This window comes from Homo sapiens, chromosome 10 (assembly GCF_000001405.40).
Source record: "Homo sapiens chromosome 10, GRCh38.p14 Primary Assembly".
NCBI lineage: Eukaryota > Metazoa > Chordata > Mammalia > Primates > Hominidae > Homo > Homo sapiens.
Genome location: NC_000010.11, coordinates 84,127,607 through 84,154,225, shown reverse-complemented (window position 1 = coordinate 84,154,225; position 26,619 = coordinate 84,127,607). Strand labels below are relative to the sequence as shown.

Below are 26,619 nucleotides of genomic sequence, written 5' to 3'. Positions count from 1 at the left end.
TTAAAAAAAAAGTAAAACAGTAAAAAAATCCTTGGTTTTCTAGATAAACTGCCTGATACCATCACTGAAATGATATCATTTTGTGTGTGATATTAATTTAAAAAAGACATAAACTTTGGGTTCTAAAAGGTGACTAAGGAAAACAGGCACTTTAAGATCACACTGATATGGGTATCAGGATGGGGAGAAGAAAAATAGAAAATTGGCATTTACATTTTTACTAATAAAAAAAAGCATCAATAGCTAAGACTTATGTAATGCTTACTAAGTGCCTGCACGTTTAACCATAAACCTATAAGACAGGTTCCAATATATTCATTTTACAGGAGAGGAAACTGGGCACACAGAGGTTAAGTAATTTGCCCAAGGTCACATAAGAAATAAGAGTTGAGATTCAAATAGAGGTAGTCTAGCTACAAGTATCATGTACTTATCACACTGCACTATACTATACTGGCAAGAAACTAAGTTGCTTTCTTGAAGAAATCCCTATTCAAATGGCATGCATATGATTCACTTGGAAAAATTAGACTAATCAACATCTGGCTGAAACCTTTGTTTCAGAAATAAGCCTCCTATGTACTTTGAGATGATTAACAGTATTTCTGCATTACTGTAATAAACATTTGTCAAAAAGAGCAATCACCTCAGTCATCATACAGACTTCTTTCCCTTCATTAAAGACTTCTAAATATAACTCTTCTGTATCAAAGAACTTACAAATGTCTCAAGAAAGTAATGGTGTAGCAGTGTAAGAGAAGTAAAAGTCTGCTAGGGGAAACTAATGAAGCATTTTCCTCATTACACTTTTGGGTTGATATATTTCATTAAGACAGAACTAGTTCTGTTTTGCTTTGCTTTTTAGTGCTTAGTCTGAGAGGCAATGCGAGAAACCAAAAGTCTTAGGAGAAAAACTGCTTTCATAATTTCCAGTGTAAGCCACAAAGAAGCTTTTCTATAAAGGCTTGAAAGCTTGAAGAGGTGACAAGAGCAAGCTGTATTCAATTAGACAGTTCAATAAATATGCAAAAATAAAAAAACACTTAGCAATCATGAGTATACTGTTTGTATTCTGGAAAAAGCAACATATTTCATGCTTTGAATATTTTCTCTTGAGAATAGTTTTAAAGTTATTTCCTTTTGTAACATTCAAAAGTAAAACACACATATATAATTCCATCAAGGATTCTCTGTATGATTAACATTCTGTACAAGTCAAACATGACCACATCTATATTGGAAAGAGAGCACTGAGAAGCAACAGCAGGAGAATGCATCACCTGTGCCTGTTTCAGGATGAACAGTTTTGTTAAGTTCAGCAGATGAATGTAACAATGACCACTTGTTTCCAAATACCCAGATGTTTCTTACTGGCTCCTCACTAATCAATAACACAAGTGCTAAGTTCTAAGTATTTAAAAAAACAAAAGACTGCAGGTGACTCCTTCTCTCTGGTCCCTTTACCAAAGCTCCAAATCACTTATGACATTAATTACAATATTCTGCACTCCAAAAAAATATGCAAACACAGGTTTGCTAAATTTTAGTTACTCAGTGAACCTACTAAATTTTAAAGTAGAAAAAAGACTTACATTCTCATGACACAAACTTTAGTTTTCACATTCACCAAAACATTTTAAAATCACTCAAACATGAGAATTGAAAATGTGTGTGCTTATTTGGGAGAGGATTACTGCATTTATTCTCCAGAAAAAAAGGCAGACCTGAGGCATCACATTACCGGAACATTTAAATATGATGACATGTTTCTTATCTTCTAAACTTCAACGAAAGCTGCTTGTACAAACTATTTAATGCATATCTGCCCCATTAAACAAGATATTTGATGTAGCAGAGAAGCCAGAAGCTGAGTCACTTCATTTCTTTCTGTTGCCTCCAGTTGCCAGCATAGTTGCAACTCGCATAAATATATTTAATGTATCCATGTAGATACTCAGCATCCTAGAAAAGAAAATTATGCCCATTATATATGATGCAATTCTAATAGTGATGTTGAATTCTTAATATAGAAAAGAAGAAAAATACTATTTGTCTTAGTGATATAAAATGGAAATTAAAAATAAGATGTTTAACTGCCAACTAATGAAGTACTAGACTAGAAAATAGTTAAGGTCTTCCTTTTGGCAGACTCATCTTTTAAATGTTAAAGAGCAGTTTAAAAAAATCATTATTTTATTCTCTGACACTCTGCATATATCAACTTGCAAAGAAAACTAGGTGGCAGACAATGAAATAATCAAAACAAGACCAAAGAAACACCTTTATAAAAACCTGTTAGACACAAGTCTAGCATTTTTTAATATAAAAGACCCACTTCACCCCTCTAAAGAAAACTTCTACAAATCTGTAAGCTTTACAGTACAGCAACTTTTTCTTCCCCCTAAACCATTACATTAAGTTTTATTTTTAGATAAAATCAAATTACTTTAAAAAAATGTGACAGACACAATGAAACTCAAGAAAATTGTTTAAATAAAATAACCCACTTTGGTCGACTCCAAGAAAAAAGAAAAAAACATAATAACAATTAATACCAACTAAAGTTGCATATCTCTGAAACTAGACTCTTTATACTGAAGAGTTTCTAATTTCTAGAAGTATAAAATAGGCTTTTCTATTAAAAATTCCATGTCAATTATATACATTTTCCAATAAATAATACTTGATTAATACATTTCTTCAGTTTTAAAGTCTGCAAAATACACTACCAAAAAAATTAACTGAGCAGTAAGAGCACATTATTTATTGCACCCTGACACTGGCTCACAAAAATAGACAAAATATTCTGATAATGGAATGAATACCTAAGTATTACACTAAGTTGCAATAAAATCAAGAGGTTTTTTTGGATAGTTTACTAAAGAGAGAACAGACAAAACTGCAACAGAAGTAAAACAGGAAATCTGACAAAGCCATTGGTGTGGTTTGAGCTGTGACCCTCCTCTGCCCCCCAACAAAATATAATGAAATCCTAATCCCTGGTACACAGGAAGAGCACCATGTGAAGATGGAGACAGAGACTGGAATGATCCATCTACAAGCCAAGGAATGTCAAGGACTGCCAGCAGTAACAAGAAGCTGAGAGGCAGGGAACAGATTTTCCCTCAGGGCCCTCAGAAGTACAACTCTGCTAACACCTTGATTTTAGATTTCTGGCCTCCAGAACTACAAGAGAATCAAGTTTTGTTTTAAGCCACCCAGTCTGCGATACTTTGTTAACAGTATCCCTAGAAAACTAATACAGCCATAAACCAAAACAGGTCAAATACACACAAGCATCCTTATGTGACAGAGTAACAGTGTTAAATAAAAAGCATTACTTACGAGTTAATGGGATCATATTTTTGAACTCCATACATTGGTGATACTTCTGCACGCTTGATTACTTTCTGGGTATCATACAGAAGGAACATGCTGAAAAGAACTAATCCACCGTACATTGCCACTGAGTAAAGAGTGGCACCAGCCACGGTGGTAGGTGGAAGAAACATAGATCCTGAAATCAAAATGCGAAAACAAGATTTTTTTTAAAAAAGGATTTCCGATAACTGAGTTTATGATTTATATTACTTAAAAAAAAATCTCCTTGGTATACTGTGTAGGTAAGACGACATCTGGGTACATGTACTGTCTAATCTTATTTGCATTAGTTCAAAATCCATGATACTCATTCCTCCAATGAGCCACTTGCCCATTTCACAGGAAGGTTCTTGCATCAGAGCAATATTCATGTTCTCCAGACCAACTTTCCCATTTTAGATGTGTTTGGTAAAGCCAGTAATAATGGTTGACCATGTTGCCATGATTTTTATATGATGTCAGGTAGTAAAATCCAGTCAAATTAGCATAAATCTTTAAAAAAACTTTTAAAATAAATGACTCAATCAATTAGGATATTGGAGTATTTCAGGTTACAGGAAACTATGCACCAAGAATTAAGTGTTAAAACACAGCAGCTTACCCAATGAGGACACAAAGACGAGACCCAGGCCCACTCCCAGGGGTGCACCCATGTTCAGAAACTTTTCACTGGGCGCACACATGGCCACAGTGGAGAGGCCTCCCACAATGCCAGCTGTGTACCATGCAGCTCTGATGAGAAGAGGACCCCCTAATATTGTCAGAGGAGCCACCACTGCACCCATCACACCTGGAGAAAGAGGAAGTGCTCATTAAGTATTTACTAAATAACAAGCAAAAGGAAAATATCACTTCTAACATGCCACTTTATATTATACCTTACTGTTTAAGCACTATGATTCAAAAAGTTCTGCCTTTAGATAATACTACCCCCACCAAATTCTACAGCCCAAATTGGTGACTACTCAAATTCTATATCACAACATTAACACTATTCCTAATCAATCACACTCACAAGCAAACACTAATCTACTTATTTAGTAACCATCAAATTCCATGTAGCTATTTGAATCTGAGCTTACCACTAGTTTCTACAACATTCATATAATAATTGAGATAAACAAGCTTAAAACAAATAACTCAAGGTCAAACCTACTGCTGTCAAAAGGGAAAGCATATGATGATAAACTTAAAATGTGGGAACTTCTAAGACAGACACTGCTGTTTCTTTATGTAATAAGGACTGCTAACAGCTTATAAATAAGTAATTTTAGTTGTCAGATATTTATAAACAATTTCGTAAAAAATTTACCAGTAATTCAACAAAGGTAAATGGAACTCCTTAATTGAAAAAAAACTTAGATAATGCATTATTTCAGTGCTAAGAAGAATAAGTTACCTTTTTCTTAAATGTCGTTTACCTCATAGACTAGGCACAAAGCTATCTTTATACTGAATTTTCAATACTAGCTTAAAGAATAACATTTCTAGATCAAGTTATATGGTTAATAAGGTATACTATCTCATGATGATGAATAATTTAAAAATACTTTTTGCTCTAGGCAAAACAGTGGGTGAAATTTCTACACAGAACACTTCTATTAGGACTCCTCTCAGTTTTTTGTTATTTCGCAGCAACATTTTTAGCACAACTTTCTCTATCCTCAGTTTTTAATTTTTCTAAACATACCAGACAAAAACAACTCTCAAATGATGCGTACTAGATATAAAACCCTCCTGGTATCGAACAAAATACACAAAAGTAAATCTCTGCATATACTAGACTGTCAGAAGATACAAGTTTCGTATTGAAGATGTCCATGGTCTTAGCAAAATCAACTTTTCAAAGCAAAGGTCTGGCAATAATGCAGCCAGTAATGACTGAAGAAAATGGTGTTTTCTAAACATGAGGCTTAAATTCCATGTAGGTCATTTACAACTGTGAAGAGCCACCCAAAAAAGGTGGTAGTCAAGGTTGTCTCGTAACAATTTAAAACAGAACATACCAGAATGTAGCAACCAAGCAAGATGCTTTGGGCCTGGGCTCTGGTCATATGGTATTGATCGTACCAGCATTCCAGCTCCAACCATGGCTGCAAAGGTCACACCAATTGTCTGAAAGACAAGTACTATTAAGAAAAACTGATCTTTATATGAAAACAAAGCAGAAACCCACAGGTTTGAAGTACAATTAGTTACTTCTAATAAACTAGTTGTAAAAATATTAAAGATAATAAATCAAAGCTTAAGGCCAGGCGTGGTGGCTCACGCCTGCAATCCCAGCACTTTGGGAGGCTGGGGCAGGTGGATCACCTGAGGTCAGAAGTTTGAGACCAGCCTGGCTAACTGGTGAAACCCTGTCTCTACTACAAATACAAAAATTAGCCAGGCGCAGTGGTGCGCGCCTGTAGTCCCAGCTACTTGGGAGGCTGAGTGAGGTGGGAAAATCACTTGAACCCGGGAGGTGGAGGTTGCAATGAGGCAAGATCGTGCCACTGCACTCTAGCCTGGGTGACAGAGCGAGACTCCATCTCAAAATAAAAAAATAAAAAATAAAAAATAAAAAATAAAAACTTTAATTTTTCTGGCACATTAAAAGCTCTGGGTTTATTTCAGAGTTTTGGCTAAGTTAGCACGAGTGCCCCCTACTGCCATATATGAGGTTTTGCAGACAGCTTCAAATGCATGTCTTAAGCTTGAACTGGCAACACATCTTTTAACAATTTTACTCTTGTTGGACAGAGGTGAAACAAAAACCCTTTAGGGATCCCAAGATAATTAACTCTTAATTAAAAAATATATTTTTGTATAGCACAAATAGCATTTTCTTTAAAATCAGTGATGCTTACAAATTAGTAATTTTTAAAAAAAATATATATAGCACATCACTTTGAACTCCATATTTGCTAAATGAAGACTTGAAAAATAGAAAGTAGATTATCACAGCACATGGAAAAGAAAAATGAGAAATAAGATTCTACACTTCTACCCTTCCAGGTTTATGGCTAATTTGGTCCTCATTCCTTTTCTTTGCCTATCTTAGATTTCCAGTGTTATAATTAAATATTGCTTGTGTATGACAAGAAGAATGTATTAACATGTAATGGAAATAAGATGGTGCTAATCTCCAAGAAATTTAAATCAGAGATTGCAAACTTGTAGCCCTTGGAATCAGGCCACAGATGTTTTGTTTGGCAAACTATGTTTAAAAAAACAAACAAAAAAAAAGAACATGGTGAATGGTTTTAGTTGAAAAGGTTAACTCTAGATGTCAGTAACCTCTAGATGTCAACAATCTCCTGTGTGACACACTAGGCCTCCTCACTCATCTGTATTATCTGTCTCACCTATGAACATCAAAATATTCAACCTCTAATATAAAGTACAGGTAAACCAAATAGCTGGTTTTGCCAAGAATGGGAAAACCTTAACATGAAAAAGCATACTGAGCTGGGTGTAGTGGTATGGACCTGTAATGTCAGTTACTTGGGTGGCTGAGGTGAAAGGACCACTTGAGCCTGGGAATTTAAGCCAAGCCTAGGCAAACATAGAGATCTAGTCTCTATTTTTAAAAAACATTAAAAAGAAAAGAAAAGCATATCGAGCTCCACTCCACCATTTTCTAACGAGAAATAATTACTACAAACTATTTCACACATCCTCTGTGGACAGCAGCAATTAAATTTTTTTAAGATCTTCTATGATCCAGTCTCACTCCAAACTCTGCATTCCAACCATACGGAACTGGCACAGCTGCCAACATGCCCCAAAATTTCAGGCCTCCTTAATTCAATCCATCATGCCTAAGAATATCTCCTTCCATATCTGGTCGACTTACTCTGGTACTGTCTCATCTCAAAAGCTTTTTCTAGTAGGTACCCTGGCTGCCCAAGAGCAAGATCAGATACCTCTCCTCAGATGCACTTGGGACAAACTTTGACATTATCTGTGTGTCTATGTGTGTGTTTGTATATATATGTCTGTCACACCCAAAAGGTTACATCTTCATCTCTGTAACACTTGTCTTTGGCTTTCCTATTTTCTGTATTACTAACAGTGGAAGAGGGTAATCTTTTGCCCAGAAGGGACTGAGGATATGGCCCAAACACAAAACTTCTTTGAAGCCTCATTTTAGGGCCTAAAATTTTAGGTAAATATTGTCATGTTTATTACAAAAGTATTGTTTTAAATTATTTGCTTCTGATTAAAACTGACATCCCCAGTGAAACATTCTGTGCCTTTGTGAACCTCTGGGCTGGGAGATTCATGACGTCTATGTGAAAAAGCATGATCCTAAGAATATATAAATATCCAAATGGCTGCTACTGTAAATGGTTATCCTTTAGTAAAGTACAACACAGTGAAAATAATATGGTTTTCGTCCCTATGTGGGGAATCAGTGTTACATGAACTCTCCTTCCCCTCCAGTATCACACTCTGCTCTAGTTCAGGTTCTTATCATCCCTCATTTCAGATCTTACAAAGGCACAGCTGGTACACCTGCTCCATGTCTCTTCCACATTGGTTCTAAAAACTCAAATATAAATCACGCTTTTGTTGTTCCAGTATCTCCAATGGCCTCCGACTGCTTAGGTTCTCTCCTCAGCTTGACAACTGTATCCTTTCTAACCACGTCTTCTTTACCCTCCAGACCTCAAACACTTGAATTTCCCTCTAATGGGATTGTAAGTCACCTCTGAAATTAGGTTTTCCTACCTCCTCTTCCCTTAAACTGTTTGGTAAAATTGGACCGCCCTTGTCTACTTAAAAAAATTTTTTTTTAATTTTTAAAATTTTCTATTTCTTTAAAAATTACAGACAGTGTCTCACTATGTTGCTCAGGTTGGTCTCAAATTCCTGGGCTCAAGCAATCTTCCTGCCTCAGCCTCCTAAAACGCTGAGATTACAGGTGTGAGCCACTGCACCTGGCCCTCTTGTCTACTTCTAAAATAAATGAGACATGTTAGCCTTCAACAACCCTGATGAAATAAATGTCTCCTTCACGGAACTTGCCTAACAGTCCAAGACAGAAACTCTCAACTGACTTTGCACTTTCTTATTGCGTATCTGTGCCACTTATTCCAGTTCATCTCTTCTACCAAATAGCAGGAGAATAGGGGACACATATTCAAATTCTCTTATCTAGCAAAATAACAAGGGCTCCAGAGAAACCGATTAAATATAAAATCTTCTATAAGGTCAAGAATCTTAGGAATAATAGTAGCAGCACTATTCTGCTCTTAACTGCATAGGCATTTCCCTCTGACTTCTAAGATGATTTTGCATTTGCTTTATTTTTTTAGTAAACTGCTACAAATTAGAGGCTGTCTGATATCTGCTGCTAGACAAAAATGTTGTCTCTGTAAGTTTGATTTCTAACTCCTCTGGTATTATTCGAATACATGTTTAATAAAGAATAATAGCTGACCTACCTAGAATGAACTTCCTACTTTTATCTCAGCTGCACTAATACAGGTTGAGTAACTCTCATCAGAAATGTCTGGGACCAGAAGTGTTTCAGACTTCAGATTTCGGACTATTTATCATTACACTTCATTGTTGTTAGGGTTCAGGATCCCTAATTCAAAAACCCAACATGTGAAATGCTACAATTTTCTTTGAGCATCATGTTGACACTACAAATGTTTTGGATTTTGGAGCATTTCTGGATTTTAAATTAGGGATGCTCAACCTGTAATTCATACATTATTTGAACAAAAACTTGTTCAATACAGTATTCTTTCCATTTAATAACCCTTCCCTCCAATATATTTTATCTAATCTTTTGATCTTTAGATGAAAAAGGAAAACAAAAACAGCTGACTTACCACCCAAGAGCCTCTCATCATGAAGTTCATGAGAACAGGCGTTCTGCTGATTGCTATGGCAGACAAAGCTGTTAAACCAATACTCCCTGCTAAGTACATATAGGTGGAATGAATTCTATCCTTGACATACTGAGGCCAAATTCTGTAAGAAACATGACATGATTAATCTATGAAATTACAGATTTGATTTCTGGTTGAGTCACACACTAGCTGGGCGACCTCGGGATAAATCATTTTACACTTTAAATCTTATTCACTTCATTTATCATGGAAATAATTATGATAATTATGCATACTTGGGAGTTACTGTAAGGACTAAATGAGATAAAACATACAAGCACATATAAAAAACAACATATTTTTGGCTGGGTGCGGTGGCTCATGCCTGTAATCCCAGCACTTTGGGAGGCTGAGGTGGGTGGATCACCTGAGGTCAGGAGATCGAGACCAGCCTGGCCAAAATGGTGAAACCCCGTCTCTACTAAAAATACAAAAAATAGCCGGGCATGGTGGCATGTGCCTGTAATCCCACCTACAGGAGCCTGAGGCAGGAGAATTGCCTGAACCCAGGAGGCGGAGGTTGCAGTGAGCCAAGATCGCGCCACTGCACCCCAGCCTGGGAGATAGAGCAAGACTCTCTCTCCAAAAAAACAAACAAACAAACAAACAAAAAACATATTTCATATTTTCTCTTTGCTTAAACACATATAACCTTGCTAAAAGATTTTTATTTAGATTTGAATAAATAAATGTCAAAGAAGCAAAAAGAGATTCTCTATTTGTGTGTATACACAAAGACTAGACACAAAACATTCCAAAGTGACTAAAGATAGGAATGAGAAGAAAATTTGAATTTTTGTTTTAAGGCTGGAGTTGTTTAGGAACAGTTTACTTAAAACAATTTACTTACACAGCCTTTTCAATAGCTCCAATCTCATTAGACAGTCCCAAGCCATAGTAGCACAATGCTCCAAGACCAACAGCAGCCCCTCCAGCAACAAACCATCTTCCCATCTGATCAACTGCAGAACACAGAAGGAAATGCAGGTTAGTACTGGCACATCTGGACAAAGCCTTTAAAATATTTATCAAGGGAATCAAATCATGTACCATATTTAATAGAAGCCATAATCAGTGCATATGGGGTACAGAAATTGCCTCAATGTTAGGTAACCAGTAGAAAAAAACACTCCTGAAACAAAGGTGTAAAAATCAGTACAAAAAAGAAAGGATCAGGCTTGGTGAATCTTCAACCTCCCTCCAACAATATTTGAGGGAGCAGTATACCTGTAGACGTGGAGCTACTTCTGTGATACCTATTATTTTACTAATAAGAGGTTGAAGTATATTCACATGACATTCATGGAAAGTAAAAAATGAGAAGGAAATGTTAACAGTCATACCATACTGCATGGTATTAACACAAATGATGCTTTACGTGGAAATCAAGAAAAAAGAGAAAATATAATCAGTGTTTATGCAGCAGAATCAAGTGAGAGGAGGCTCCCGTTTTAGGGTACTGAGAGGCAACTAATCAACTCTAACTCAATAGAGGTATTCATAAAGGGCATCTTATTCTTTTAGTCTAATTCGTTTACTAAGAATATTACTAGGCTGTCACTACATAATTTGCATGATTTGGTCTCTAGGGTCAAATCAGAAAGAAATGACCTGAAGGATACTGATTAGGGCTCTCTCCCACTGTAAAGACATTTTGCAAGATTATTAAGGAGCAGTGGTATTCTTTGAATAGCTTTAGGATGATTAACAATCTAGTTTCTGAACTTGCAAAGTTGATATCCAAACTGAACCAAACTGGCAATATATTAAAGTACTGCCCTCCTGAGGCCCTATGTGAGCAGTGAGTTAAAGGATTCTTCTTGGACAGCTAGGCTTTTATTAACATCTATGTGTTGGTGATTTATTCTTAATCTGAAACATACACAAATATTATATGCTTGAATGAGGATTCTACACACTTAAAATGAACTTTCTCAACAGAGTATACCTTTTGGACCATGGCATATTAATAATCCTTTTCTTTAAAAAAAAGGAAAGTAAAATTTCCACTGGAAGAAATATGATTGATAACCACTGAATCCAGTGCAAAGTACCAATCTTTTCTGGGTCGTCAGATCTCAGAATAATAATGTGGTCTTCCCAGAAAATGCACAAATACACATATATTTTTAGGAAGTTGTTCATGGACCTCTTAAAACATATCCATAGATTCTAGGTTAAAAACTAAAGATAGCCACCTACTTTTAAATATTTTTTCCATCGATGGTTCCAATGCTGCCTCTTTGAGTTCTTGGCCAGTTCTCCCACGCCGGATCCCAATTCTTGTTTTGGTGGCATATTCCTGACACACATGCAAACAAAGACACGTACCACCCACATGAAAACAGAACGTTAATAAAATAAAATGCAAGATCCCTTTACACTAGAAAACTCTAGTTAAAGAAACTTGGTACTTTCTATATACCTAACTTCACTATGGAAATTTATTAGCCAACTTAAAAAACTAAATGTAAAAATAAATAAATAAATGTAGACCTTCCCTGTGCTCCACCTTTGGAAGTTAGTAATTCATTATATTATTCTTAGTTTCAATTTCAGAAAAATTGTTTCTTTCACAAACTATAGATTTACATACCTAGAATTGTTATATTTTAAATCCTAACCAAATACCAGGGTGAGAATCTGTTAGCATTTTTAAGATATGCATTCTACAAGCATTATTAGCTATATTTTGTCATCTGGGATATGGACTCAAGAACAGCATCTTTCCTTAACATGAAGCCAAGAAGAGGGAAGACTACTACTTCCATTGTGGCTCTTTTTCAACAGTGGAACAGTTAATTTAAAAGAGAAAATGTCTCCTAGCTTCTTTATATTGTCCTCATTACCTCACACTTCAAACCTTATAATCTGAATGCCAGAAGATAAATCTATTATAAAAATGGGTTTCTTTCTAACCTGACAGATATTATCAACCTCTAAATAAGAGATAATATATTTAGTAATTTATTAATAAGCTATTGGCCAACTGGTAATATCCCTGGGTTCTTAAACTTCTGACTATGTGCTCCAGGATCTCCGTTACACTATGTAACTCTCAATCCCTCACAATGTACTCTAAATTTTCTAAATGAGAAACTCCAGAAGCTGTAAGCGAAGACAGAGTTACAGAAACTCATTTTCTATTTCATATGGGATAAGGAGGGACCAGAATGATACAAACTAATGGGGAGAAAGAGCTGATTGGGGATATTATCAGGGCTAACTGACGTATAACACACTAAAGGCAGAGCAGCCATACTCTGCCAAAAAGAAAGGGCACAAATGGAAAAAGAAGCAATATAAAAACATTCAGATTATCTTTACCCTGCTAGGTGTTAACAGCCATTGATTCTTCGTGATGGAATTCTTCACAACAGGGGAGGCCTTGGTGAAAGCTGGGTGGAAAACCCTAGAAGGTAGTGTCCGGAGACACACCAGCCTTGCAGCCAACATGGTGGTGGTGCACCAGGTCTACCGAGCAGATCTGAAATGCTAGTTTAAAAAAAAGGCAAAACCAACCAAAAAAACATAAGTAAAACAACCTACTAACCAATTAAGAGAAGGACATATGAGAGTCAGAGTCAAGGAACAAACTATTTTTTAGTAGAACAGGAAATAAAGCGACCTTTTTAATTTTCAGCGATGAATTCTTTGCCCAACCATCCACTGTAATGCAAGAAACCCATCCCAGAGAACACAGCTGAAGATGGAGGAACAAACTAGGTTTAAGTCCCAGTTTGACCAATCAAAATAGATGACTGCAAAAATTATGTGTAACACAGAACGGCTGTTAATAACTGGACGTGATTACAGAGTCTGTGATGGTTTTTACAAATGTAGTTTTGGCTTAAGATTTATACCAGCATCCAGTGGGAAAATTTAAAAGAATCTACATAACTTTTGGGCAAAGGAATAGTGTCATCCAAAGAAGACATGAATAGCTCTTCAAGGTTATACTGCATTACAAAGCTAAAAGGTATTAAAAGAAGCCAACTATATGAATTTCAGCTAATCATACCAAATATTACTTTCCTTCAACATGAGATATAAAAATATTCTAAGTTAACCTATTCTATATGTCCTACTATAATGCGTAAAGGACATTTAGTCTTTCAAAGTAAACAAGTAAACTCAGTTACCAACCAGGTTTCCCTTACATTAGACTCCCTCGATGGTGTCTTCAAAAGAAAAGCATGCTAAAAACTGGATTATCTTAGCTCCAGGGCACATTATACTAGATGGGTGGTCAACCAGAAGTCAGCAGACAGTGTTTCTGTAATGCTAAGGTGAGGTGACTACAATAGGTCAGAATGAAATGACGAGTGTAAACCAACTGGGGCTACCAGCCCATCTCTGCCAATGATTTGTAGTGAATTCTAGGCAAGTGATATACTTCTGGGCCCATTTCCCCATCTGTAACATAAGGATTCCGTGTTCAGACTACAGCGTTGACCCTTAGACTACCTGCTTGAAAGTGCCCCGGATGCATCTTAAAATGTAGGCTCCTGGGTCTTTCTTTGCTCCTAATGATTCTACCCCTAGGAATAAGACCAAGAACGTGTGTTTTAACGAACACTCCAAAAGCTAAGAACTATTGCTTTAAGATACCCGAGCGTCCTCCGAGCTCTGCAACTGAACTATTAAGGGTCTTAAAATTCGGCACCCGGCCTTTGGGAAAACACCCAGCGCTTTTGGAACTTTCGTGCCATTACATCATCTCAACCTATGGCTGTCCTGTATCTTCCTCAGTACTCAGTCCACTGGTTGGGGCCGAAGAGGTCCAGCTCAGAGTGACCTCCATGTGGCGTAACAGCCCAGAGTGGGAATCCCGCTTCTGACAGGTTAGAAGTGACCTTGTGAGGAGTGTGGATCTCTAAGACTCAGATGTCGTTGCTATAAAATGGGGAAAATACTACCGACCCTAATCCAAGGGCTTATGCCTCCGTGAGCATTGATGAGTTTGGGTGCCTGGTCCCCGAGAAAGTTCACCCAGCCCGCTAGATTCAGATGAGAACCCGGCAGCAAACTTCCCTGTCAACCCACAACACCTCTGCCCCTGCCCCAGGTGCCGCTACCAGCGCAGCGGCTGTACGGCCTCGCCGCAAGGATGACTCAGCACCTTGTTGCCCGAGGACAGAAGCACAGCTACACTGAGCCCTTGCCCGCCTGACCAGGGCCTTGTGCCGCCGCCCTCTCCACCAGGTCACCCACAGGACTGCGACCCCAACGCGCAGGCCGGCCCTGACGCAGCCAGCAGCACCGCTGCTTCCAGCCCTTCCCCCCGCACCCAGCGGTCCCGTGAGGGCGGCTGTCAGGACCACCGGGGATCCCGGGCGCCCGCCGGCCAGCCGGAGCAGTACCTCGGTCCCCGGTCACCTTCGCCTCGCAGTTTCCCTTCCGGGCCCCTAGCGTCGGCCTCAAAGAGCACAGTTCCTCCGGCGCACTGCATGACGCAACATCGAAAGGACGTAAATAGTACGAGCAGCCAATCACGGGCAGGCCTCTGTCGGAAAAGCGGCCACACTGGGGGAGGCGGGGTTCCGGGTTGAGGAGGCGGGGTTCCAAATTGGTGGGGCGGGGCCAGTTGAGGATTGTTGCAGGGAACGTCATAGTCAGCGTCCATTTTGCGTGTGGGCATGGGAGTCGTCTCGGCCATCTTTGTTTTGGGCAGTGGAGCTCTGTTTTGCTTTTGTTTTAGTCGTTTCACTCGCCGCAGCTATAAGAATTATGTAAAAATTGAAAGAAAGTAATGTTAGAGTTAAAAATTATTCCGTTTATTCCGTTCCTTTTTGAAGGCCTTTTTGTCCCTTAATTTATCGTGAGATAAATATCTTTTCAAATGTGTCTGCTTCTGAGCCGAGTCATCCGGTTTCTGGGGTCTCATGCCAAATGTTAGATGGTGACATCCAGAAAAGATTTTTTCTAGATGGTTTTTTCATTGCTTTGTGACTTTCCCGCCCACATTTTCAAGTTTCACCCTAAACCTGTGTAATAGGCCTGATAACAGCCGCCTCTGCCTTGCACCCAGGATTGCTCTGAGGACTAAGATGTTTCCATTGCGCGTAATTTGATAGGTGAAGAGCTAGTTGTGGAATACGCGAGAGAGTTACTTTCTTTTTCACTCTCCCTCTATTTCAACAGATATTTACTGAATGCTCAACTTCGTACCAAGCTCTGTTCTAGAAATATATACAAATGAATCAGCCGGGCGTGGTGGCTCAAGCCTGTAATCCCAGTACTTTGGGAGGCCGCGGCGGGTGGATCACTTGAGGTTAGGAGTTCGAGACCAGCCTGGCCAACGTGGGGAAACCCTGTCTCTACTAAAAATACAAAAATTTGCCAGGCGTGATTGGTGCCTGTAATCTAAGCTACTTGGGAAGCTAAGGCAGGAGAATCACTTGAACCCAGGAGGCGGAGGTTCCAGTGAGCCCAGATCCCGCAACTGCACTCCAGCCTGGGCGATAGAGGGAGACTCAGTCTCAAAAAAAAAAGAAACCAAAAAAACAAAAACAAAAAAACAGCAAATGAATTAAACCCGTGTGTGCTACCACTATTTTAACAAAATAAAGTCCTTGCTCTGTGGCTTTACTTTCTGGTAGAGACAGAACATAGAAAAAATATAATGTGATAACTTAATACCATGAAGAAAGAGCAGATTAAAACCCTGAAAGGGTGATAAGGTGATTAACAACATGCAAAATTCATGAACCTTTATCTCCTAAGCAGTAGTTAATTGTGATTTATGATTCCTAATCATGTAAACCTTGACAAATATAAAGACTTGCCTTCTATGTGGATAATAAAAGAGTCTGGCAGCAACACAATTCTTATCTCTTTACGCTGAAAATGGCAGGAAAACACTAGAGAAATCTCACGAAACTGAACAGATCAAGCATGATCAGTTTAATTTTTATTTTGATCTATGCCCAATTTTATTAGCTAGCAAATAGGTTTTCTGTTTGGCTCCTTCAGTGATAGTCTTTTTTTCTAGAGCTTCTGTTATCAGCAAAGAGAAAGGATTTACAACACAGTACCAGAATAAAGATCTTGAAGTCAATGACTCAAGCTTTCTTCAAGATTCCTATTAAAGCTTATTCTCTCCATATTGGAAGAAAAATGTCTGATTTCATATTTTCCTTTCTCAAGTAAAGGGCTTGTATTGTTGTTTCCACAGGGGTCAAATATTTTGAAGCAGGGGAGGAATCTGGTCATATCATTGGGAAATATATGCTCTTGTGGCAGTGTAGGAAGGGAGAGGTTCCATGGACCAGGAGACCAATTAGGAATTTATTGTAGTTGTTCAACCAAAAGGCAATAAAGGCTGGAATTAAGCCAGTAGAAAGACACAGAGGGGTTTATGACAGAGATATATTGCTGAAGTGGAGTTTGCAGGATTGAATGGTCGGTCAAATATAGCTGATAAGAATGAGGAAGGCTCCCTGAGTAATCCTTCTGAACTGGGTGGATAATTTTATCATTAATTTAGCAATAGGATACAGGGAGAGATACAAGTGAGGGGAAGTAGATACATAAAACTTAGTTTGAAGTGTTTAATTGTTAAGTTCTCTGCTTCTAAGTTCTTAGAGTGTAGGATAGAGAAAAGGACAAGCCGGGAATGGTGGCACATGCATGTAGTCCCAGTTACTGGGGAGGTAGCCCAGGAGCTTAAGGCCGGCCTGGGCAACATAGGGTGATGCTGTCTTTAAAAATAAATAAGTAGGCTGTGTGTGGTGGCTCACGCCTGTAATCCCAGCACTTTGGGAGGCCGAGGCGGGTAGATCACAAGGTCAGGAGATTGAGACCATCCTGGCTAACATGGTGAAACCCCGTCTCTACTAAAAATACCAAAAAAAAAAAAAAAAAAAAAAAAAATTAGCAGAGCATGGCGGTGGGCACCTGTAGTCCCAGCTGCTCGGGAGGCTGAGGCAGGAGAATGGCATGAACCCAGGAGGTGGAGCTTGCAGTGAGCCGAGATCGTGCCACTGCATTCCAGCCTGGGCAACAGAGCGAGACTCCACTTCAAAAAAATAAAAAATAAAAAATAAAAGAATAAATAAGTAAATAAAAAGGAAAAGACATGATTCGTAAATTCCAATACTATATATATGTCACGGTTTTTATTACAGTCTGCTGATGAATTCCTTATTCTCCACTTGCTGGCTAAGTGAGATATGCTGCATTATAGTGGAGAAAACTCAGAGCCAGGACAAAAGATAAAATATTTTATTTACTTTCAGTTAAAATAAATGCTCTCACCTTGCCCTACTATGCTTTCCCATCAGAAGATGTGGTATGAATGAAACAGAGTTGGAAAGGGAGTTTGCTGGGGCTTTAACCTCTGCCCTCCCTGATGGAGTCTCCCAACAAAGGGAAGGTGCTTCTTCCTGAAAGGTTGCAGATGTTTCTGAATGTAGGGACCAATTGGCACCTGCTTCTCATGTGGTTGCTAAGTGGCAGACAACAGAGCAGGTAGGAAAGTTACAAGATCTTCCCCATCTTGGCCTTGTTTTCCCTTGGAATCCCTAAGGTCTAGATAAACACAAGAATGTGATTGTGAGCACGCACCTGCTTGTTTGCACCCTTCGAGATGCTGCTCAGTAGTGAGGCGACACTAGAAGTATGTGTGGGTGAGATGCCCAGATGGGCACCAACAGACCATTTAGTGTATGACAAGGCAGAGCCATTTGACTCTGCTTGGGTGAGAGATCAAACTGTGCCAACTTCAAAAGTTATATCCTGCCAGCCACAGAAAGACAATGAAGCCATGGGGACTACTCCCTTTAGATTTTGCTGAACGGCAGCTGCATGACAATGCAATGACTAAGAGGTAGAGTGGAAGGACAGAGAAGCTACACTTTTTCCCCTCCTGTTTAATGTAAATGTTTCTAATCCAGTTGTGGCCCAGGAGAGGAGAAAGGACTTTGAACTCCAATGTGACTGATGGTAATAAATCCTGAAACTGACAGACAAATTGTCAGACTGTTCTGAGCTTGCAAAATGGAATAAATAGGCTGTCTGCTCTAAACTGACTGGGGCCTTGAAAATGACATCGATGGCAGTTTAAAGAAAAATGTAGCTCAATTTTGCATTCACCTAACTGACAATATATACCCCTCACATATGTGCAACTAAATGCTGTAAGTGGGCCAAAGGACAAGGTCATTAGTGGGGTAGTATCTGTGGAGGGACAGATATTGGCAGAAAATTGAGACTAGTGTCATGCTTTCTGGTCAGTCTTCCAAGAGGAAACCAACACTCAGAAATTGTAGTAGCTTTTCTTAAGAAAAAGGTATTAGGTTGTTCTTGCACTGCTATAAAGAAATACCCGAGGCTGGGTATTTTATAAGAAAAGAGGTTTAATTGGCCCATGATTCTGCAGGCTATACAGGAAGCATAGTGGCATCTGATTCTGGGGAGGCTTCAGGAAGCTTCCAATCATGGCAGAAGGCAAAGAGGGGCAGGTACATCACATGGCAAAAGGAAGAGCAAGAGAGAGAGAGTTGGCGGGGAAGGGCCAAACACTTTTAAATGACCAGATCTCCTGAGAACTCACTATCTCAAGGACAGCACCAAGGGGATAGTGCTAATCCATTCAAGAGAAATCCACTCCCATGATCCAGTCACTTCTGTCCAGGCCCCTCCTCCAATAACGGGAATTATAGTTCAACATGAGATTTGGGTGGGGACAAATATACAAACTATATCAAAAACATAGCAAGGTAAATGGTAGATCTGGGTCTAGAACATGCGATGGAGGCAAAAGCTGGTGCTTGAGGGATTAAAAAAAATCTCTCTTTTAATATATAATGCATGGATATGCAGACAGCACATGTGCTAGTAAAGCTATGACATTAAGATGTCATGGGGGAGGGAATCAGGCAAAAGCATCTGAAATGAATTCCTAGGGAAGCAATAATAAAAAAAGGCTGAGGAGCACTGGCCTAGAATACAGGATTTCTGTGATTCACTCTGATATCAGGCTCATCAGAAAAATTTTTGGTGTTACCCTCTATGACTCTATCAGTGAGTTGTTATTTGAGGTGATTTTGTGATCTTGAAGGAAATGAAAATATTTCACCCCCAAATATATTTTCTTGACATTGTTCAAGATGACTATTCAGAAAGGCTGGAAATAAAATAATAGCTAAAAAGCTGTCTTTTGTGGGAGAGATTAGCATTTGTAGAAAAAGTCTGCATTGATAAAGTCCTGCATTCTCCGAAGGTCTTCTCTTGTCTGATCTAGGAAAGACTGAGAGTCCGGCACCATAAAGGTCTGAAAGAAACATTTACCATCTTTCTCTCTGAAGGCTACTACCTATGAAGTTACATCTGCATAACAGGATCGCTGTTGCTAGCCAACCCTCCTCTTCTCTCTCTCCCATAACCTGTCTTGCCGCTGTAACCTGACTTACCACCGTAATCTCTTTTTGGCCATACCCTGAGCCCCCATTCTTTCTGTAACCTGGAGATGATGTATAAGCTTTTGTACCCCATTGTGGGGTTGGGGTTATCACTCTGTGATTTCCCCCATACGTGTTAACAGACTTGTGTGTCTTTTCTCTTTATTAATCTGCCTTTTGTCATCTTATTTTTCGGCAAAACTTCAGAGGGTGAAGGAAGAATCTTCCCTTGGGTCCTAAAACCTCTTGATAAATATTCCATAACTATATCCCTTGTGCTTCAGTATCACCTTTTCTTTTCCTTTTCCTTTCCTTTCCTTTTTCTTTCTTTTGAGATGGAGTTTTGTTCTTGTTGCCCAGGCTAGAGTGCAATGGCCTGATCTCGCCTCACCGCAACCTCCACCTCCTGGGTTCAAACAACTCTCCTGCCTCAGCTTTCTGAGTAGGGAGGGTTACAGGCATGTGTCACCACGCCCAGCTAATTTTTGTATTTTTAGTAGAGACGGGGTTTCTCCATGTTGGTCAGGCTGGTCTCGAACTCCTGAACTCCAGGTGATCTGCCCACCTTGGCCTCCCAAAGTGCTGGAATTACAGGCATGAGCCACCGTGCCTGGCCCCAGTATCATATTTCTAACTACATTAGGACATCTCTATCTAACATATCTGAGGACATCTCTATCTAGCATATTTGAAACCAAATTATAGCCTGGAATCTGAAATGGATTAGAAAGCACTTATTACTGGGAAATATCTCAAACTCCAAGGGTAGGAAGTACAGCTGGGTACCATAAAGACTTAAGTCAAGAACTGGAAAGTCAGGAAACACAATCCCTGTATCAGCTTTGATTTAATCAGAGAATTTGGACTATTAATATTATGAAATAAGGAATACATGAGAGAAATAAAACCTTATGTAATTGTGGCAGGATCTGAGGAAGTAAAGATCCAAAATGCATCAGAGAAAATTCACTGACAAGACTTGGTGCTATCAAGGTTGACAGGAAGGTGAGCTGGATGTGGAGCGAGAACAGGCAGGGATGACTTGGAAACCACTAGCACCTCTGAGTCTTTCCCTTATGGCCCTTGATCAATGATGATCAATGGTGAGCATCACCTACTCAGCCTTCCTTCTGCCTCCTAAGTCTTATCAAGTTTCTCTTGCAGCCAACCCTAACTCTGAACTATGTAGGGAGGGATTTTTTTCTTTATTGATCCTGTTTTGTATCTTTTTTTTTTTTTTACACGGAGTCTCACTCTGTCACCAGGCTGTAGTGCAATGGCATGATCTCGGCTCACTGCAACCTCTGCCTCCTGAGTTCAAGCGATTCTCCTGCCTCAGCCTCCTGAGTAGCTGGGACTACAGGTGTGCACCACCACGCCCAGCTCATTTTTGTATTTTTAGTAGAGATAGGGTGTCACCATGTTGGCCAGGATGGTCTCGAACTCCTGACCTTGTGATCCACCTGCCTTGGCCTCCCAAAGTGCTGGGATTACAGGCATGAGCCACAGCACCTGGCCCTGTTTTGTATCTTTTTTTGCGTAGAAACTATACCTGTGACTATAATGGCTTCCGAATCCTGTGAGTCCTTCTAGTGAATCTTCAAATCTGGAGTTCATCTTGAAAACCACCGATACAGTAAGACATCACATCAACCTGATTATTGAGAGAGTCCTCTAGTAGGCATACACATGGTACTTAAATATGTCCATATTCTGAGCCAGTTTTTATAAGTCCATTTATACCTCTCTCCCAGATCACCTAATGCCAATCTTGTTTTTTCAAATTCTTACCAGTTGGCCAATCTTGTAGCCACTGTCCAAGAGTCAGTGTAGACCTGTATTTTAGTCCCTATCTCCTTTAGTGCAAATTGAACTTTCAAATGGTCTTTTCTCCTAAGCTCTTTCTTCCCCACTGGGAAGACTTATTTTCATCACTGTCTTTCAAGGCTGTCCCTGAGTTAGGGCTGTAATATAGCAACATGCAGACCCAACTATAGGTTAGGCCCATGCTTATGCTCTTAGGTTAACTGGTAATAGAAAAAGGTCCATGAAATCATAGATTTGGGTTGAGAAAAAGGTGGCAAAGCAGGAACAAAAGATACCATGAGAGTCTCAGGCATTTACCCAAGCAGTTATTTGCGTCCTCAAAACCTGCTTGAGACTGTTCCTGTAAATACTGTTTCCGTTAACAAAGGAATAATGTTGAGAATGTCCAATCTTATTGATTTGGAGGATCAGGCAACACCCAGTTTATGATCCTGGGTCCTGAAGTCACTTGGTTTTCCTTGGCCATGTACTCATGACCTCTGCTGCCTTACCAAACAGGTGCCACCTTTTTGCCTTGGCAACTAGATGCCACAATTATCTCCCAATTAATTTCTCTGGACCTACACTTCATCCCTTGTCACTACCAGTAACAATTTGGGTAATTATGATGGCACCACATGTCTGCAAAAGAGGTGATCTGTCCTCTAATCAAATGTGTGAGCAATTTTAGAATCCTATTTTGAAGGTTTTTCTCCTGGGTACCACTTATTTTATTAGCATCTGGTAGGAAACAGATGGTACATCAAAAAGAGGCGATTGAAGAATGTCTAACACAATCACTATTGACAAATGTGTATGCTGGGATAACAGAAACAGAACGGATAGTAAAGCACCCTGGAATTAGCAGCAGTGGGAAGCCGTTACCATGTTGGTCCTAGAGGAACAATGGGTGGGAACAGTTAGTGGATCCTGGCAGGGATTGGAGGTATAGGAGAAGGATCACCAAACAGGTGCCATAGCCACCATTCAACCATGGCATGGCAGGATGGGAACCAAAGGGATAAATATCTCAACCTCTCACCCTCTAATTTCCTCCTGATGGCTGAACCCAACTCTAACACAGAAGGAGCTAGGACAATACAGTTCCCAGGGGTCAGCCTCCCAGGGACCAGGGTAGGGTAGAGGAGTAGATCTCAAGTTTCTCATCTGTTGTGGACTGAATTGTGTCCCCCAGACAACTCATATATTGAAACCTTAACCCCCAATGTGACTGAATTTGGAGATGGGGTCTCCAAGGATAGAATTAAGGTTAAAGGAGATCATAAGGTTGGGGGTTGATCCAATAGAACTGGTGTCCTTATCAGAAGATGAAGAGAAACCAGAGATCTCTCTCTGTCTCTGCCATGTGAAGACACAGTGAGAAGTTGGCCTTCTATAAGACAGGAAAAGACCTTTCACCAGGAACCAACCTGGCTGGCACCTTGATCTTGGACTTCTAGCTTCCCAAACTGTGAGAAAAATAAATGTATATTGTTTAAATCACCCAGTCTGTGGTATTTTGTTACAGCGGCCTGAGCAGACTAATGCATCATCTATAAGATGAAGACTGTAACATGTGTCTCATGAGATTCCTATGATGATTACATGAAATAACATGGATTAGATTTCTAAATACAGTACGTGCATGATAATTGCTAATATTTATTACTTTTATTATTGGTATTCAGAGTTAAACAACCAGAGTCTCATTTCATGATTTTTAGTTACCCCTCTCTCTGTTTTTTCTTTTTATAAATTCAATTATCTTTCTTGAGGTGAATAAAATAGATCTTTATACATTATAGATACTATGTGGTCTAGGATACCTTCTTATATTCTATTTGTAGTCTGCTTTTGTTAATGTCTCACTTTTTCCACCCTCTATCATATTGAATTAGTGTCTCATTTCAGTAGTTTATAATGTCTTCCTTACTGGTTTATAACAGATGGTTCTGAGCTCATTACTCTGTAAATATAGATTATATATTTATTTTCAGAGTGAATTATTTGGTATCAGTCCCTGTTGAAGTTCACCTGCCATGTTTGAAAATGTTCTTGTCAAATAGCAGCCCCAACACTATTTTCATTTTTAACTTCTATGTTTTACATCTTGCCTTGCTTATCTTTTTAGTACATAAATGCTTATGGGTGGAAAGCACTCATTTTATATTACCTTATATGTCGGTTTTAAGTGTCAAGCACACTGATAATTTAAAAAAAATGAAAATCTTTTTAGTTAAAAAATTTCATATATTTTAGCACTAGACTTCTTTAGATTTACTGGAATGGTGGGTGTGCTTGTAATAAAGCACTGTCATCTGGACATTTCAGTTCTGAGCCACATGATCAGAGATGCACAAGTGTGGGAACTGCATGGATCTTTTTTTTTTTTTTTTTTTTTTTTTTTTTTGAAACAGAGTCTGGCTCTGTAGCCCAAGCTGGAGTGCAGTGGTACGATGTTGGCTCACTGCAACCTCTGCCTCCTGGGTTCAAGTGATTCTCCTGCCTCAGCCTTCTGAGTAGGTGGGACTGCAGGTGCCTGCCACCATGACTGGCTAATTTTTATATTTTTGGTAGAGATGAGGTTTCACCATGTTGGCCAGGCTGGTCTTGAACTCCTGACCTCAGGTGATCCACCCACCTTGGGCTCCCAAAGTGCTGGGATTACAGGCGTGAGCCACCACGCCCAGCCTGCAAGTATCTTTAAAAGATGGATAGTAGTAGCTGCGTGCAGTGACTCATGCCCTTAACCCTAGATAGTCAGGAGGCTGAGGCAGGAGGATTGCTTGAGGCCAGGAGTTCAAGGCCAGTCTGGGCAACATAATGAGACCCCATCTCTACAAAAAATAAAAAGGATAATAATGATGAGTTTGTTAGCTATTAGGTTACACCATTTTAGCAATAGTACCGCAAGTAGGCCAAAAGAGTAGTTTAATCATAGTTATGGGTGATTGAGTTCCACTCTGGGCAGACATTACTAGTACATTGGTCACTTTGCATTTATTATATTGTGTACTCTTCTAAGATGGTCTCAGAGGCTTGCCCTTCCCCTGTTGTCCACCTCTACAAGAATTTAAATGGCTTTATTTATTTAACCAGGGACAGGGCTTTTTTAGGTGTGTGCATTGGTGGGCAAAAAGGGCCACCAAATTAAGGATTTTCAAGGGAGGAATTACAATGATGGACCACAGGTCTAGTCTGGGTCAGAATGGAGGGGAGAAGGATGAGAGAAAGTAAAAGCTGGTTTGGTGGGTGGATTGGACATTTTCAAATTTGTATAATTGCTTGAGCTGGTGATTTCAATGAAATGAGGTTGCAGTAAAAACAAAAATTAGATGTCTGAAATTCAGATTTTGGAAGAAGTGTAGTTGTTGGTAATGGCAAGATCTTGGGTATGACCAAGGGATAGGTGAGTGAGGTACAATAGAGGAAGAGATAATTATACAGAACAAATAGCTGAGAGGTCTAGGTGTTGGAAGGATCTTCAAGCAGAGAATGGTGACACTGCCAGGGTGGAAGGAAAAGCTGGGCGTGGTAAGCACAATATTGGTCCCCTAAAGATGTTGTAATCCTCAGGACTTGAGAATGTTACTTTACACAGCAAAAGGGACTTTGCATATGTGATTAAGTTAAAGATTTTCAGATGGGAAGTTTATCCTGGCTTTACCTGGAAGGAGGAGAGGGAATTTAATCACAAGGGTCTTAATAAGAGTGAGGCAATAGGGTTAGAGTCAGAGAAGGAGATGTGACCCTGGAGGCAGAGGTTGGAGTGATGTGGGGTCTTGGGTCAAGGAATATGGGCAGCCTCTAGGAGCTAGAAAGGCACAGAAATGATTCTTCTCCTCCAGAACATGGCCTGGCTGAAACCATTTTAGACTCCAGAACTGTAAGATAATACCTTTATATTGTTTTAAGTCAATAAGTGTGTCATAATTTGTCACAGCAGCAATACAGCAGGTATTACTATAGAATCATCAATAAGGAGAGGGATGGTAGTAGGGATGGCATGGGTGGTAGATGACATAACTAAGGAGGGAATGACTGACCCCTGCACTGAAATGTTACTGGGGTTGTAGAAAGAGGAAGGAATTTTACAGTTGAGTCCCAGGGGTCATGGTGGAAGACTTGGGAAGGGTGGAAAATTAATCAGATTAAGGTAGCCATAGAACTATGGTAATAGAGAACCTGGGGAGTTTGGGTTTCGGGTTGTATCTGGATAAACAAGGGAGAGAGGTAAGAGCCCAGAGGGTCTTTTAGCTCCAAGTACTGTAGTTTCATTTACAGTATTCCTTGTTTATCTGTGGATTCACTTTCTAAGGTTACAGTTACCTGAGGTCAACCACAGTCTAAAAATATTACATGGAAAATTATAGAAATCAACACTTTATACTTTTATTTTTCTTTTTAAAAGATGGGGTGTTGCTACATTGCTCAGGCTGGAGTGCAGGGGGATTCACAGGTGTGATCGTAGCACACTACAGCCTCAAACTGTTGGCCTCAAGTCATCTTCCCACCTCAGCCTCTCAAGTAGCTGGGACTACAGGTGCATGGCACTGCACTTGGCAACAATTCATAAGTTTCAAATTGGGTGCATTTTGGGTAGCATGATGACATCTCAAGCTTTCCTACTCTGTCTTGCCTGAGACATGAATCTTCCAGCGTATTCATGCTGTAAATGCCCCCTGCCCATTAGTCACTTAGTAACTGTCTAGGTTATCAAATTGACTGTCACAGTATCTCAGTGTTTGTGTTCAAGTAACCCTTATTTTACTTTATAATGGCCCCAAAGCACAAGAGTAGTTAAGCTGGCATATTGTTATAATTGACCTCTTTTATTAATGGTTATTGTTGTTAATCTCTTACTGTCTCTATGAAAAGTTTATCATAGATATGTATGTATAGGTAAAAACATTCTGTATACAGGGTTTGGTGCTATCCACAGTTTCAGGCATCCATTGGGAGTCTTGGAACATGCCTCCCTGAGGATTGGGGGCGTCTAGTAGATTTACTCAACACATATTTATTAAATACCTACTCTGAGGAGGCTCTGATGTGGATATGAGTGGTTTAGTGGCCAAAGGATAAGCAAGTGCATCCTCTTGGGAATCCCAGGAATTAGAGGTGCTCCAAGCTTCTTTCTG

At 39.5% G+C, this 26,619-nt stretch overlaps 1 protein-coding gene across 1 annotated transcript, besides 3 other annotated features; it reads right to left on the bottom strand.

Moving 5' to 3' along the window:
* Window positions 1-657: 657 nt before the first annotated feature.
* On the bottom strand, window positions 658-14,717 carry GHITM (growth hormone inducible transmembrane protein). Its single transcript, NM_014394.3, has 9 exons — window positions 14,633-14,717; window positions 12,597-12,764; window positions 11,472-11,571; window positions 10,120-10,231; window positions 9,210-9,351; window positions 5,388-5,496; window positions 3,983-4,171; window positions 3,346-3,517; window positions 658-1,962 (listed from the first exon to the last, which is right to left on the bottom strand). The coding sequence occupies exons 2-9, from the start codon at window positions 12,723-12,725 to the stop codon at window positions 1,878-1,880; spliced, it is 1,038 nt and encodes a 345-aa protein (NP_055209.2). The 5' UTR covers window positions 12,726-12,764; window positions 14,633-14,717; the 3' UTR covers window positions 658-1,877.
* Window positions 14,210-14,779: an enhancer, noted in NCBI's record as "NANOG-H3K27ac-H3K4me1 hESC enhancer chr10:85899203-85899772 (GRCh37/hg19 assembly coordinates)". NCBI's record gives its function as "activates a minimal SCP1, AML or CMV promoter by ChIP-STARR-seq in primed H9 embryonic stem cells {active_cell/tissue: H9 hESC(primed)}" and the evidence as "EXISTENCE:reporter gene assay evidence [ECO:0000049][PMID:30033119]".
* Window positions 14,437-14,636: a silencer, noted in NCBI's record as "silent region_2549". NCBI's record gives its function as "represses an Ori minimal core promoter by ATAC-STARR-seq in GM12878 lymphoblastoid cells {active_cell/tissue: GM12878}" and the evidence as "EXISTENCE:reporter gene assay evidence [ECO:0000049][PMID:35858748]".
* Window positions 14,780-15,349: an enhancer, noted in NCBI's record as "NANOG-H3K27ac-H3K4me1 hESC enhancer chr10:85898633-85899202 (GRCh37/hg19 assembly coordinates)". NCBI's record gives its function as "activates a minimal SCP1, AML or CMV promoter by ChIP-STARR-seq in primed H9 embryonic stem cells {active_cell/tissue: H9 hESC(primed)}" and the evidence as "EXISTENCE:reporter gene assay evidence [ECO:0000049][PMID:30033119]".

Excerpts from the sequence above, each read along its gene's own strand:
- GHITM (NM_014394.3), bottom strand. The coding sequence starts at position 12,725 with ATGTTGGCTGCAAGGCTGGTGTGTCTCCGGACACTACCTTCTAGGGTT. Across the intron at positions 5,497-9,209 it reads TGATGAGAGGCTCTTGGGTG|ACAATTGGTGTGACCTTTGC; the intron begins GTAAGTCAGCTG and ends CTTGTCTTTCAG. Across the intron at positions 1,963-3,345 it reads AAATATGATCCCATTAACTC|GATGCTGAGTATCTACATGG; the intron begins GTAAGTAATGCT and ends TTTCTTTTCTAG.